Raw genomic sequence first — 16,912 nt, 5'->3', positions numbered from 1 at the left:
TCATTTACAAAAGGCAACATTTTCTAAGGGTGTGCTATGGTTATCCAAAGCTGGTAAACCAAAGAGCATTCACTAAAGCATTGCAAACTTAATGCCTAAGGATATTAAAGATTTTCCTGCTCTAACAGAATAGAGGTGTAATTGAGGAAGGGACCGCTAAACTTGTATCTACATTTTCTCAAATCGCCTGAATCTTGGGGTGGCCAAATTTTTTTCCAGTAAAATGTAAATACAAATGATGTCTGCCATGTCTGGCTCATAAGGTTGTACTTGTCAAGCAGCTTAGCCTAATCCAATTAATATACCAGGCACATGACAACATTTACCTATTTTAGAGTACATTTTAATGTTGTTTGATACTTGGGTGGTAAATACAAATGTTTCTTTCCAGAACAAATTTACTAAAATGTTATTCTTAACATTTTATCATCATAGTACCAATTATGACATTTTCTATAAGAAAAACTCAACTTTGGAAAACGTGTAAATTTCAAATTTCTAAGTTTATTGGAATCAATATTCCTTTTTAGAAAGAACAGATAGAAATGTAGGGAATGGAACTTTTAGTCTTTTCATAAAACAACTTTATAACAATAACTGATCCTAGATCAAAGTTCTCATGAACCTTTAATTGGTTAGAAAGGAAAATAAATTCAAAAGTCAAAAGAACATGGTTGCCAAAAAGGTACCTCCCAAGAAAAATTATAATTTATTTACTCCGTAATGAGCTTGAGTATAAAATGAATTTAAATATTATATAACGATATTAGCCACTCTTAAATTTCTTTCACTTCTTTTTTGAAATGTTTGTATCTTGAAAATTGTTCCAGGAAGCATGACCACATGCACTTTTGCAGTGATTACATACTGATTATATAATCACACGTAATTTTACATATTACATATACATATAATTATATGTAATTGTATAATTTACTGATTATACATAAAAGATAGGACTGTACTTGATATAGTTTGAATATCTGTCCCTGCCCAAATCTCACATTGAATTGTAATCCCCAAAGCTGAAAGTGGGGGCTGGTGAGGGGTGTTTGGGTCATGAGGGTGGATCCCTCATGGCTTGGTGCTGATTTTGCATAGGGAGTGAGTTTTCATGAGCTCTCGTTGTTTAAAAGTGTGTGGCATACACCCAGTAATGGGATGGCTGGGTCAAATGGTTATTCTAGTTCTAGATCACCGATGAATCGCCACACTATGGCACATGTATACCTATGTAACAAACCTGCACGTTGTGCACATGTACCCTAGAACTTAAAGTATAAAAAAATATATATATAAAAATTAAAAAAATTAAAAAAAAGTCTGTGGCACCTCCCTCACCATGCCCTGTCTCTCTCTCTTGCTCCTGCTATAACCATATGAAGTGTCACATGCTTTGCCTTCTGACATGAGGCCTTCCCAGAAGCAGATGTTGCTATGCATCCTGTACTGTCTGCAGAACCATAAGCCAATGAAACCTCTTTCTTATTAATTACCCAGTTTCAAGTATTTATTTGTAACAGTGGAAGAACAGCCTAATATAGTACTAACACAAAAATACAAGTTTTAAGTGTAAATAATAGGATCTCAATTTTTATCTTTTCTACAAATAAAACCATCTGAAAATTTACAAGTTTCAGAAGTAAATGATAACTGCTAATAATGTCAAAATTCAACAAAATAAAGAATAATAGCTAGATACTATTATAAAACTGTAACATTAGATGAAGAGTTATAATCTATTAATTCAGAAAACAAAAGGGTACAAGAGAAGTATTAATGATGAAGAATAATCTTACTAGTGACTTCAAAATAGTAATGCTTTAACATAAGGACCCTGATATTCTCAATAAACACTATTGCAAAAAAATAAAAATAATTTTGAAGATCTACTACCCAAAACAAATATAGTTAATTTAAATATTTTTATTATAACACCAACCTGTTCAAATTCTTGTATTTTGGCATCCTTGACTTGCAGAATTTCTAGAACTTTTCTGTCTTTAGCTTCAGATTTCTGTTTTTCTCTAGATATAAAATATAGAGAGTTTATTAGTCATAACTGGTAGCTAATACTTTAAATTTTCATATCCCAAATATTAATATCACTTTAAAATATAGAAAATTAAATCATCTTGAGTTGACCACATGGCAAGTGACAGCAACTTACAACTGCTGAAAACTAAGACAACTTCATACTAAAAGAACAGTTTCATTTCTAGATTTAGGTATATGATAAAAATTACATAAAACATAGTTTAACCTTGATTGCAATAACCATACTGTCATCGCTTTGAAAATAATTACAATTAAGTAAACATGTTCTTGTTAATTTAAGCTTTCATATACACAATTATATTAAGGATAAAATTTACCATTTTTTAAGAGTCTCAAAAGAGAGAGTGACAGAGATTTACTTATAGTCGATACCCTATAACTAGAATTTTTTGATTTCTGACACCTTCCTATACATTTCTAGTCTCTGAGAATACTATTAACTAAACTAAATGGTAGTTGTACAATCAAAGCATAGTTCTCTGGGAAACAGAAAATCACAATACTTGTAAAGAATGACTATCTTCTAAAACAAATATAGCTTTTAAACAAATATAGCTTTATAAAGCAAAGGAGGAAAAGGGAAAGGAAGGAACAAAGGTCTGAAGAGACTGTATAATCAGGCTGACACCAGTCAATTTATATTATAAATAAGGGGAAATTGATTGGACACTGATTTACATTTTTTAAAAGGTCACAAATAAAATACATGGTATTCATAGAAAAACATAAATAATTAAACAGACAAATCTATATCTGTGAGAATCACAAATTAAACAAAAATAGAAAACTATAAATGGGGATGAAGCTACTATTTGCTGTCCCCCAGAGCCAGATGCAGGCTGAGGTGGAAAGGAGCTTGACTTCTGGGGTTAATAGGGAATACAAGTGCCTTACCCAGTATGCAGAAGCACAACCAGGCTCATTGTGTGGGATGGGAATGCTAACTCATGAAATGAAGCTGGAAAAAAGCTTCTGCCCATCCTTGCCTAGAACCAAGGCTTATATTAGAGTCTAGAAAGGCAAAAGTTTATAGATGTAGCTCCCCAATCAAGAGTTGAGCCAAAACACCCTGCAACTGAGGCTAGGTGTAGCAAAACCTCTATAAAACCTATTTCAGGAAAGAGACTAGGGTGAGATTGACAATTTAAAGGCAACTATAAAATTTCTAGAAAAAAAGATAGGCATTAGTTAAGGACGTGGTGGTGGAGAAAGAGGAGGAAGTAAACAGTAACAATAACAGCAATCTTCCCTCTTGAGATATGACCCCAAACAAAAAAATTCAAAATACATGAATCCCCATACACTGACATACTAGTTCAAGTCAAAAGATGCAATCCTCTAGAAAAAATAAAAATAACCAAATATAATGAAAAAGACTACAATAAGTAAGTTAAAGGTCCGTAAAGACAAAAGAATAACTAATGTTAAAAGTAAAGCTGAGAGATGAAACACAATCAGGTAGATGTAAAGAAGCTATTAAAATCTTGAAGATAAAAAATTATAATCACTGAAGTAAAAAACAACTAAATGGACTAAGCTCAAAACTAGACACAAAAAGAGATTAGTGAAATAAGGGATAGTAATAAGGGATTCATCCAGAACACTACACAGGAAAATAGTGAGATTAAAAACATGAAAACACAGTTGAGACAAGTTTCTTTGGGAAACTCCAACATATGCCTACAACATTCCAGAAGTAATAACTATGGGGATGAAAAATAAAGCAATATTTCAGGAGGTAACTGCTGGGAATATTTTAGAATTAAATAAAGTTCTCAGATTGAAGGAATACCTACCAGAATAAATAAAAGTCACATCTAATACATTAATCCATCACTCATTCAAGTATTTATTGCACATTTATTATATAACAGTCATTGGACTAGGGACTAGAGATATTGGAGGGAACAAAATAAACCAAGTTGCTGCCTTCATGGAATTAACATTTCAGTACATAGATAATGAAGATAAATAATACATAGTATGTCAAATTGCTATCAGTATAATAAGGACAATAAATTAGGGTAACGAAGAAAGGAATTCCCAGTCCTAGAGAAGCTGGGAGTGAAACGAAGGTTGTTGTTATTTTATATAGAATAGTTAACATGTAACTCTCCTTAAAAGTAATATTATATTTGAGGAGAGATCTAAAGGAAGGAAGGAAGAGTCATGAAGACCCTAGGGAAGAGTTTTCCAAGTCAAGTCATGGAACTAGTAGCAAGAGCAAAGACACAAGAGCAAGAGCAATTGGTATATTCAAAGAACAGCACGGAAGTACACACATTTATAGTAAAGTAGATAAGGAAATGGTAGCTAAGAACAGAGAAATCACTGGGGATAAAATAATATGTGGCCTTCTAGGCCCTGTGAAATTTGGATCTGAAGTGAAATGGGAAGGCAATGAGCAGAGAAATAACATATAACATTCTAAGAGTATCAATGGCTGGTGGGTTGAGGACAGACCTTAAGGGTCAAGGGAGAAAGCAAAAAGACAAGTTAGAAGGCAAATGAAACAGCCAGGTAAAAAAGAAAGGTGAATTGTACATGATAGGCAGATGCAGTGGCATTGAGAAGTGATTAAATTTTGGATATTTTTAAGGTAGAGCTAACAGGATTTCTTGATAGAAAAGTGAGGAATGTCTCCCAAGCTTTTGCCTACACAACTGGAAGAATGGAGCAGACATTATCTGAGACACAGAGAAGAAGTTTGGTGGACGGACACAAGGATTTCAAATGTGGACATACTAAGTTTGAGATGCCTAATCAACATCCAAGAGGAGTAGGCAGTTGAATTAAAAAGTCTGGAATCAGTAAAAAAGTTAAGGCTGGAGATACAACTTTAGGAGTCATCCAAATACCGTAGTTCCCCCTTACCCTCAGTTTCACTTTCCATGGCTTCAGTTACCAGCAGCCAACTGTGATCCAAAAATATTAAATGATAAGTTCCAGAAATAAACAATCCATAAGCTTTAAATTGCAGTGCTGTTCTGAATGCATGAAAAAACTTGCACTGTCCAAGTCCCAACTCACGTAGGACATGAATCATCTCTTTGTCGAAAGTATCCATGCTATAAACACAACCTGCCTATTACCGTGTAGGAAAAAACGTAGTGTACATAGGGTTCAGTGCTATCCATGGTTTCAAGTACCCGTTGGGAGGCTTGGAACGTATCCCCCATGGATAAGGCAGACTACTATATTTTTAAGACCATAAGGGTAGATAAGTTCACCTAGGGAGTGATTTTGCATAAAGAAGTATGAGGATTCAGTCCTGGAACATTTCAACATTTATAGATTAGTAAGATAAGGAAAAAACATCACATGAAACTAAGAAGGATAAGCCAGTAATTTAAGAGAATAAAGAGAAAGAGCTAAGTGAATAGAATTTAGTAGAAAGGAATGATCAAGTATACCAAATGCTGCAAACACACTAAAGACTGAGAAATGACTGTTGGATTTAGCAATATTAATGTATTAGTCTGTTTTCACACTGCTGATAAAGACATACCCGAGACTGGGAAGAAAAAGAGGTTTACTTGGACTTACAGTTCGACATGGCTGGGGAGGCCTCAGAATCATGGCAGGAGGTGAAAGGTACTTCTTACACATGGCAGCGGCAAGAGAAAATGAGGAAGATGCAAAAGCGGAAACCCCTGATAAAACCATCAGATCTCCCTTGCTTTCATATACCACGATATTTCACTACCACGAGAACAGTACAGGGGAAACCACCCCCATGGTTCAAATTATTACCCACTAGGTCCTTTCCATAACACATTGGGAATTATGGGAGTACAACTAAAGATGAGATTTGGGTGGAGACGCAGAGCCTAACCATATCAATTAAGGTCAGTAGTTGATATCTTGACAAGAACTATTTTAGAAGGATGGTGATTACAAAGCCTAATTAGAGTGAGTTCAAGTGAGAAAGAAAAACACAGAAATACTGAAAAGTACTCTTCAGAGAAATTTTGCACAGAAAGGAGCAGAGAAATGGCAAAATAGTTCAAGGGAAATATGAGATCACAAGAGTTTGTTTTTGTTTTTGTTTTTTTTAAACATGGGAGATAAGACAGCCTGTGTGTATGCTGACAGGAATGATCCAGGGCAGTGAGAGACACTGATAATGCAGGACAGAAAAGAGAACTGCAGTCCAACATCTTTGAATCCTTGAGGCTTGAAGCGTACATATAGTTTGTTCGGCCTTAGGTAAATATAAACAGTTCTTCCAAAGAAATAAAAAGAGAGAATATGAGAACAGATTCAGATATGTTGGTAGATACAGTTATGGGAAGGAATAAAAGCTCCCTTCTAAGAGTTTCCACTTTCTCAATGGTATATGAAAGCAAGGGTATCCAACAGCTGAAAGTAAGAATGGGAAAAGAAGTGTTGGAAGTTGAGAAAAGAGAAAACAAAACATTCTAGGATACTGAGATAGTAAGCGGGCCAGGAAAAAATAGGATGATGAACAGGCAGTACTGAGGGCCACTTAAAATTAGTGGTCATAAATTTATACAAGATCATTGTCATCATGGTTCAAGGTCTTTCTCAAGCCAAGTTTAGCCCTTTGGATGTAGGCACACAAAAGGCGGAGAATTGGAATAAACCACACTGGAAATTTTGCAAACATGTATATTATGATGATTTATTTTTACCATTTGCACTTTATCTTGCTTTATTATTTTGTTGTCTACTTACCATACGTTAATAGTACATTTAATACATAATTGCAATCCATTATGTACAACTAGGCCTTCTTTTGTTTCTTATATTAATAATAAAATATAATGTACTTTCAGAAACTGATGAATTTCTGCCCCTTTTTATTTTATGTTTTGGCGTTGCCTATCGATATATCTGCCATTTTATATTTTAGTGTGTTTTTATTGATTTATACAACTATTTTATGTTAAAATATATGAACTTTACCTATAATTTGTCACTAATATATTATCTCAAATTACCACTTGAATGTTTAGCTTATCATTATAAAATCAGAAGTACTGCAAAAGAATACTAAATCTATTAGAGGTATATACATTAGGAGGAAAATAACAGGATCCCAAAAGTTAGGGCATTATAGGATTTACCCAGGGACAAAGACCCAGATCATGAAAGTCAAAGCATTAACTACAGTCAGATAGTTCCTTTGTAAGTTCTTTTCCAGATATACCATGAATCTATTTTTAACTGTCCAGGAATTAGTTTAATTTATAGGGTTACAAAGGAATATAAATCATTCCATATAAAGACATATGCACCCATATATTCACTGCAGCACTGTTTACAATAGCAAAGACATGGAATCAACATAAATGCCCATCAATGATGGACTGGATAAAGAAAATGTGGTACATATACACTGTGGAATACTACAAAGCTATAAAAAAGAACAAGATCATGTCCTTTGCAGGGACAGGGATGGAGCTGAAGGTCATTATCCTCAGAAAACTAATGCAGGTAGAGAAAATCAAATATTGCATGTGCAACATGTTCTCGCCTATAAGCGGGAGCTAAATGATGAGAACCCATGGCTGCACAGAGGGGAACAACACACACTGGGTCCTATCAGAGAGTGCAGGGTGGGAGGAGGTAGAAGATCAGGAAAAATAACTAATGGGTACTAGGCTTAATAAGTGGGTGATAAAATAATTTGTATAACAAAACTCCCATGACACAAGTTTACCTTTAAAGTTTACCTAAAAAACATTTAACTACATTACAAACCTGCACATGTACCCCTAAACTTAAATGTTTTTAAAAAAACTGTACGGTTAGTCTTTATAATCCCCTCTTCTATAATAAACTTAAGATCCCCACTAATGTCCAAATAAATTCTGGTAGTACTTTTAAATGAGATACGGATAATACTAGATTATGTGACACCAAACCCAAACAAAAGCATTATTACAGCTTCCAAATGAGCTTGATACTAGGCTAATTATCTCCTATGACACAAGTATGTACACATACTCACAGTCTAACTAGTGGTTAGGTTGCCAGAGCACGAGCATCATCATCACCCAGGTTAGAAATGCATGTTCTTCAGCCCAATCCAGATGCACTGAATCAAGAACTGTAAGAGTGGGGGCCCAGCAATCTGTGTTTAACAAGGTGCTATGGACTGAAGGTTTGTGTCTCCTCAAAATTCATATATTGAGGCCCTAATAACCAATGTCATAGTATTTGGAGGTAGGCCTATGAAAGGCAATTAGGGTCATGAGGATTACTCCTTCATGAATGGGAGTAGCACCTTAATGAGAGGGGACACTAGAGAGAAGATCTCTCGGTGTCATATGAGGATACAACAAAAAGGCAGCCATTTACAAAGAGCCCTCACCAGAAACCACATTGGCTAGCATTTTAATTTTGTACTTCCTGGAACCATGAGAATAAATGTTTGTTATTTAAGCCACCCAGGATTCTGTTTTAGCAGTCAGAACTGACTAAGACACAAGATCTCAAGCGATTCTGATGCACACTAAAGTGTGAGAGTCACCAAAATAACAATAACACACTTCCCAGTAGATTAATCTGAGTGACATAATATTGAAAAAATGGGTCATAAGTGCCATATAAAATAAAAACTTCAAAAATATACCTGAATGGTATATCTTATAACCAAAAACCTCCAAAATTGACTAATATGTTATAATTTTGAAATTGAAAGATAATCAAAACTCAAAATATGGCAATTTGTCTAGCAGCTCCTCCTGGTGGTATGAGATGTCTAACATTTTCATAACAGGAAAATGCTCCCAAGATAAAATGGTGCTGTAACAGGAATACAATATTTTCTACTTGAAAAAATAAAATTTTTAAATATTGTTTCAAGTTTATAATGTCACCAACCAATCTGGTCAATTCAATTAATACATGTACTTCTATGTACTTACAAGACCTAAAAAAAAAAAGGTTCCTTAAAAAGAAAAAAAAAGACACTGCCAGGAGCTGATGATGATCAATGACTGAGACAAACTCCTGTTTAGCTAATTAGAACCACTGATGTGCAATAATGATGTGAGCGAAGAATATTTGCCGACTTCTTTAGAATGAAAAATGAAGCGAAGAGAGGCTGTCAAATCTGTACAACTTTTAAGCACCAATCATTTTTCCCAAGAGTACTTCCCATTTAAACATTTTAACAATGCTGTACTTAGCCACATGAATTACCACGCTAACTTTCAGTCATTTTTCTAAGCTCAAAAATCTGAGAAATTATTCTGAATCATTAAGAAACAAAATTTTATTATGTTATAGACCATGCCATATATTATACACTACAACAGGATCATATTTTCTGGGTTTGAGCCCACTTTTAATGAGATGTCAAAATGAAATATTAGAGTCTAAAAAAACATCCAACTATAAATGAGGCAGTGATATTGGTCTGAATTTATAAACAAAATAAAAAAGCAAAACTTACTGAAGTTGGTTATTTTTGATTTACAGACATAAATAACACACAAAATAAAGCTATTTATTGGACTAACGTTTTCTTTCATTTGAGTAGAGAACCTATTAAAATGCAGATTTTATACATATCAATGGTTTGCAATTTAAACAATTCCCAATTTCTAGTAAACACTAAGATTCTAAAACAGTAAGACTTAATAACAGAAGTTCAGAGAAATCAAAGTTATGCCATCATCAAATTATCCATTTATTCATGAACTATTTTATAAGTATTTCTTCTTATGAATACGCATAGTGAATTACTGGAATGGCATCTATAAACAATATAACAATAATAAAACTTGAAAAAGAGGTTGCAAAAATATTGTACAAACACATTTTACTCCACAGTAAAAGCAAATATTTAAAAAAAGAAAACTTTAATATGTGGAATAAAAATAATTCAACAGATCTTAATTCATGTAAAAACTTTGATATAAAATGTTTTAAAGGCTCAAGTATAGTTAATATATCTACTTTGCTTTTATACAAAACTGAGTTTTTATTGTATAATCCAGAATTTAGAACTATTATATTTAATTTCCAGTATAAAATACATGTTTAAAATTATATTTGAAAGCCAAAACTTGTGCTGGAGAAGTTGGCAAACGACAAATGATGGACATTTTTTTCCTTATTCAATCAGACTAAAATGCAGAAGATTATCAGGCTAAGATGTGAATCTGAATCTGTAAATTATGGAGTACAGATGAACCCTTTAAACAAAGAAGCAACAATTCAAAAGAACACATCTGCTTATATTAAATATAGTATTAAATAAGATCAGATACTCTTTATATATCAGATACTCATTCAACACCATTTCTAAATATACAAAGCTGAAACTCAAAACAAAACCTTTTTCTGTTTTATAGTTAGAAATTAAGTGACTATTTCCTGATTTTCTTATATTTCATCTCTTTTAACTATTTGTCCAGATATTTCTGCATATACTCAACATTTATTATGTAAAACAACATAAAAGAGTAGGAAAAGATTGTGTATTATATGCCTTTTATGATTGTGCATTATATGCCTTTCATGATTGTGCAAATATTTTTCACCCAGAATCTAGAAGTTTCTTCCAGTGTTTGAAAATCAGCACTTCAGAACAGACTGTTTTAACATCTGCACATCACCAGGGTTGCCCCCAAGGATTTTTAAATGATGCCTGCCTGTGCTGAATAAAGTGCTAACTTGCACCTTGCATTTCAAACTGTGTCCTGAGCAGCCATCCAGTTGGTACAACACCAGCTGAATTCCCACAGGCCACTGTTCACTCAGGCTTGACTACAATTATCATGTCAATATTTTGTGCTCCGATATGCAGATATGCACACATGCAAGCTGCATAATACTTTCTTCCCCATGGAATGTTGAATTACGTTCAATGTTCTGGGAATTTTTAAGAAAACAGAAATAAACTCTCAACAAATAAAGGTGATCACAATTATTTTACCTTAAAAACAAAAGCTATGTTTCTGTACCACCTTCTGCCATGTGTATAAAGATTAAATTTTTAAAGTAACTATTCCTTACTATAATCTCACAATTATTTAATTTAAAAATCTTCATAAAAGTTAAAAGACTATTTGGTTAAGCTTCCTGCATCTATTGTAAAAGTTTGAATGTGATTCTTCATGTTTATTGCAAGTACTCTCACCTTGAACATTAGAGTGGTTCCAATTAAACACCTTTCAGTTAGTTCCCATGACCATCCATCCACATCCCTGCCTAGGCAATCATGGCTCTTGCAACACGAAAAGTGCTCAGCAAAAATACATTTATGCCCTGGGTGGAACTGCCTGGCAGCATTGCTACCAGATGGCATAATTCTGGCAGCTACAGTTCTGGGGTCTCCAAACAGCCACGCTACTATCATGCTCCAAACTGCAACCCCTTTGCAGCCTATGTTGGCTTAATACACATGGGACAGGGTACAACCATATAGCAGCTGTGTAACCCAAGTGCTTTAGAGTGGAAAGGAGCAGGAGGGAGGTGGTCCCAGTAGTGAGAGAATATAACATAAACTTACAGAAATAGTCTCCCTATCAAACATGCAAACATGTAAACTTTAACTCTAAAAATTGAAATAAAATAAGAAATAGAAATAAAAATAAGACAATCTCTCCTTTACTATGAAATTAAATCTTTGAACCAAGTGTATCAAGGATATAGCACACATATCCTTGATAAATGTATCAATAAAATCTTAATAAACCGGCCAATAAAAACATGTCAATAAAATCTAAAAATCATCTTGCCTTTATTCCCTTTTACCATTCTAATTTTCCAGAATTGAGTTTTCATTACCAAACAGGAGGAGGAAAAGAACTGAAAATAGGAAAGTGAGCACAAGAAAAAAGTATTAACAAGTCTACAAAAAAAGTACAGAATATTAAAAAGAAAGCAAACCACATCTTCAAAATTTACACAACTAGCAAGCCAGGATTACAAATCCAGTTACCTGACTCAACGGCTTGTGTTCTTAACCACTAATTATTAAAAATAGCCTGGGGGACAGTTCCAAGTTGGTCAAATAGGAACAGCTCCAGTCTACAGCTCCAAGAGTGAGCAACTCAGAAGATGGGTGATTTCTGCATTTCCAACTGAGGTAACGGGTTCAACTCACTGGGGCTTGTCAGATAGTGGGTGCAGGACAGTGGGTGCAGCCCACCGAATGTGAGCCAAAGCAGGGTGAGGCACTGCCTCACCCGGGAAGTGTAAGGGGTCAGGGATTTCCCTTTCCTAGCAAACGGAAGCTGTGACAACCAGCACCTGGAAAATCAGGTCACTCCCACCCTAATACTGCGCTTTTCCAACGGTCTTAGCATACGGCACACCAGGAGATTATACCCCGCGCCTGGCTCAGAGGGTCCCACACCCACGGAGCCTCGCTCATTGCTAGCACAGCAGTCTGAGATCGAACTGCAAGGTGGCAGCGAGGCTGGAGAAGGGGTGCCCACCATTGCTGAGGCTTGAGTAGGTAAACAAAGCGGCCAAGAAGCTCGAACTGCGTGGAGCCCACCGCAGTTCAAGGAGGCCTGCCAGCCTCCACAGACTCCACCCCTGGGGGCAGGGCATAGCCAAACAAAAGGCAGCAGAAATCTCTGCAGACTTAAATGTCCCTGTCTGACAGCTTTGAAGAGAGCAGTCGTTCTCCCAGTATGGAGTGTGAGATCTGAGAATGGTCAAACTGCCTCCTCAAGTGGTTCCCTGACCCCCGAGTAGCCTAACTGGGAGGCACCCCCTAGTAGGGGCAGACTGACACCTCACATGTCTGGGTACTCCTCTGAGATGAAGCTTCCAGAGGAATGATCAGGCAGCAACATTTGCTGTTCAGCAAAATTCGCTGTTCTGCAGCCTCCGCTGCTGACACCCAGGCAAAGAGGTTCTGCAGTGACCTCCAATAAACTCCAACAGACATGCAGCTAATGGTCCTGACTGTTAGAAGGAGAACTAACAAACAGAAAGGACATCCACACCAAAACCCCATCTGTACGTCACCATCATCAAAGACCAAAGGTAGATAAAACTACAAAGATGGGGAAAAAACAGAGCAGAAAAGCTGAAAATTCTAAAAATCAGAGCTCCTCTCCTCCTCCAAAGGAATGCAGCTCCTCGCCAGCAACGGAACAAAGCTGGATGGAGAATCACTTTAACGAGTTGAGAAAAGAAGGCTTCAGACAATCAAACTTCTCCCAGCTAAAGGAGGAAGTTCGAACCCATCACAAAGAAGCTAAAAACCTTCAAAAAAGATTAGACAAATGGCTAACTAGAATAACCAGTGTACAGAAGTCCTTAAATGACCTGATGGAGCTGAAAACCATGGCACGAGGACTACGTAATGAATGCACAAGTTTCAGTAGCCAATTTGATCAACTGGAAGAAAGGGTATCAGTGATTGAAGATCAAATGAATGAAATGAAGTGAGAAGAGAAGTTTAGAGAAAAAAGTAAAAAGAAATGAACAAAGCCTCCAAGAAATACATGACTATGTGAAAAGACCAAATCTACATCTAATTGGTGTACCTGAAAATGATGGGGACAATGGAACCAAGATGGAAAACACTCTGCAGGATATTATCCAGAAGAACTTCCCCAACCTAGTGAGGCAGGCCAACATTCAAATTCAGGAAATACAGAGAACGCCACAAAGATACTCCTCGAGAAGAGCAACTCCAAGACACATAATTGTCAGATTCACCAAAGTTGAAATGACGGAAAAAATATTAAGGGCAGCCAGAGAGAAAGGTCGGGTTACCCACAAAGGGAAGCCCATCAGAATAACAGCAGATCTCCTGGCAGAAACTCTGCAAGCCAGAAGAGAGTGGGTGCCTATATTCAACATTCTTAAAGAAAATAATTTTCAACCCAGAATTTCATATCCAGCCAAACTAAGCTTCATAAGTGAAGGAGAAATAAAATACTTTACAGACAAGCAAATGCTGAGAGATTTTGTCACCACCAGGCCTGCCCTACAAGACCTCCTGAAGGAAGCACTAAACATGGAAAGGAACAACCGGTACCAGTCACTGCAAAAACATGCCAAAGTGTAAAGACCATCGAGGCTAGGAAGAAACTGCATCAACTAATAAGCAAAATAACCAGCTAAAATCATAATGACAGGATCAAATTCACACATAACAATATTAATCTTAAATGTAAATGGGCTAAATGCTCCAATTAAAAGACACAGACTGGCAAATTGGATAAAGAGTCAAGACCCATCAGTGTGCTGTATTCAGAAGACCCATATCACCTGCAAAGACACACATACGCTCAAAATAAAGGGAAGGAGGAAGATCTACCAAGAAAATGGAAAACAAAAAAAGGCAGGGGTTGCAATCCTGGTGTCTGATAAAACAGACTTTAAATCAACAAAGATCAAGAGACAAAGAAGGCCACTACATAATGGTAAAGGGATCAATTCAACAAGAAGAGCTAACTATCCTAAATATATATGCACCCAATACAGGAGCACCCAGATTCATAAAGCAAGTCCTTAGAGACCTACAAAGAGACTTAGACTCCCACACAATAATAATGGGAGACGATAACACCCCACTGTCAACATTAGACAGACCAACGAGTCAGAAAGTTAACAAAAATATCCAGGAATTGAACTCAGCTCTGCACCAAGCAGACCTAAGAGACATCTACAGAACTCTTCACCCCAAGTCAACAGAATATACATGCTTCTCAGCACCACATCGCACTTATTCCAAAATTGACCACATAGTTGGAAGTACAGAACTCCTCAGCAAATGTAAAATAACAGAAATTATAACAAACTGTCTCTCAGACCACAGTGCAATCAAACTAGAACTCAGGATTAAGAAACTCACTCAAAACCGGTCAACTACATGGAAACTGAACAACCTGCTCCTGAATGACTACTGGATACATAATGAAATGAAAGCAGAAATAAAGATGCTCTTTGAAACCAATGAGAACAAACACACAACATACCAGAATCTCTGGGACACACTTAAAGCAGTGTGTAGAGGGAAATTTATAGCACTAAATGTCCACAGGAGAAAGCACAAGAGATCTAAAATTGACACCCTAGCATCACAATTAAAAGAACTAGAGAAGCAAGAGCAAACACATTCAAAAGCTAGCAGAAGGCGAGAAATAAGTAAGATCAGAGCAGAACTGAAGGAGATAGAGACACAAAAAACACTTCAGAAAAATCAATGAATCTAGCAGCTGGTTTTTTGAAAAGATCCACAAAATTGATAGACCGCTAGCAAGACTAATAAAGAAGAAAAGAGAGAAGAATCAAATAGACGCAATAAAAAATGATAAAGGGGATATCACCACCGATCCCACAGAAATACAAATTACCATCAGAGAATACTATAAACACATCTATGCAAATAAACTAGAAAATCTAGAAGAAATGGATAAATTCCTGGACACATACACCCTCCGAAGACTAAACCAGGAAGAAGTTGAATCCCTGAATAGACCAAACACAGCCTCTGAAATTGAGGCAATAATTAATAGCCTACCAACCAAAAAAGTCCAGGAGCAGATAGATTCACAGCTGAATTCTACCAGAAGTACAAGGAGGAGCTGGTACCATTCCTTCTGAAACTATTCCAATGAGTAGAAAAAGAGGGAATCCTCCCTAACTCATTCTATGAGGCCAGCATCATCCTGATACCAAAGCCGGGCAGAGACACAACAAAAAAGGAGAATTTTAGACCAATATCCCTGATGAGCATCCACAGAAAAATCCTTAATAAAATACTGGCAAACCAAATCCAGCAGCACATCAAAAAGCTTATCCACCATGATCAAGTGGGCTTCACCCCTAGGATGCAAGGCTGGTTCAACATATGCAAATCAATAAACGTAATCCAGCATATAAACAGAACCAAAGACAAAAACCACATGATTATCTCAAGAGATGCAGAAAAGGCCTTTGACAAAATTCAACAACACTTCATGCTAAAAACTCTCAATAAATTAGGTATTGGTGGGACGTATCTCAAAATAATAAGAGCTATTTATCACAAACCCACAGCCAATATCATACTGAATGGGCAAAAACTGGAAGCATTCCCTTTGAAAACTGGCACAAGACAGGGATGCCCTCTCTCACCACTCCTATTCAACATAGTCTTGGAAATTCTGGCCAGGGCAATAAGGCAGGAGAAAGAAATAAAGGGTATTCAATTAGGAAAAGAGGAAGTCAAATTGTCCCTGTTTGCAGACGACATGACTGTATATTTAGAAAACCCCATCGTCTCAGCCCCAATCTCCTTAAGCTGATAAGCAACTTGAGCAAAGTCTCAGGATACAAAATCAATGTGCAAAAATCGCAAGCATTCTTATACACCAACAACAGACAAACAGAGAGCCAAATCATGAGTGAACTCCCATTCACAATTGCTTCAAAGAGAATAAAATACCTAGGAATCCAACTTACAAGGGATGTGAAGGACCTCTTCAAGGAGAACTACAAACCACTGCTCAAAAAAATAAAAGAGGACATAAACAAATGGAAGAACATTCCATGCTCATGGATAGGAAGAATCAATATTGTGAAAATGGCCATACTGCCCAAGGTAATTTATAGATTCAATGCCATCCCCATCAAGCTACCAATGACTTTCTTCACAGAATTGGAAAAAACTACTTTAAAGTTCACATGGAACCAAAAAAGAGCCCGCATTGCCAAGACAATCCTAAGCCAAAAGAACAAAGCTGGAGGAATCACGCTACCTGACTTCAAACTATACTACAAAGCTACAGTAACCAAAACAGCATGGTACTGGTACCAAAACAGAGATATCACCAATGGAACGGAACAGAGCCCTCAGAAATAATACCACACATCTACAACCAACTGATCTTTGACAAACCTGACAAAAACAAGAAATGGGGAA

General features: G+C 36.2%; 1 protein-coding gene across 16 annotated transcripts in view; it reads right to left on the bottom strand.

Moving 5' to 3' along the window:
• Positions 1 to 16,912, bottom strand: part of CNTLN (centlein) — a 393,595-nt gene that overhangs the window by 300,405 nt on the left and 76,278 nt on the right. For all 16 annotated transcript variants that reach the window (XR_007061321.1, XR_007061322.1, XR_929282.3 and 13 more), the window contains exon 3: positions 1,943 to 2,027. Coding sequence is in view for 13 of the 16 variants with exons in the window: in XM_017014839.2 (XP_016870328.1) it covers positions 1,943 to 2,027 (85 nt within the window). In the remaining 3 variants the exon portion in view is untranslated. The remainder of the gene's footprint in view (positions 1 to 1,942; positions 2,028 to 16,912) is intronic.

Source organism: Homo sapiens, chromosome 9, assembly GCF_000001405.40.
Source record: "Homo sapiens chromosome 9, GRCh38.p14 Primary Assembly".
NCBI classification, from domain to species: domain Eukaryota; kingdom Metazoa; phylum Chordata; class Mammalia; order Primates; family Hominidae; genus Homo; species Homo sapiens.
The sequence above is the reverse complement of the archived record's forward strand: the minus strand, read 5'-3'. Positions and strand labels throughout refer to the sequence as shown.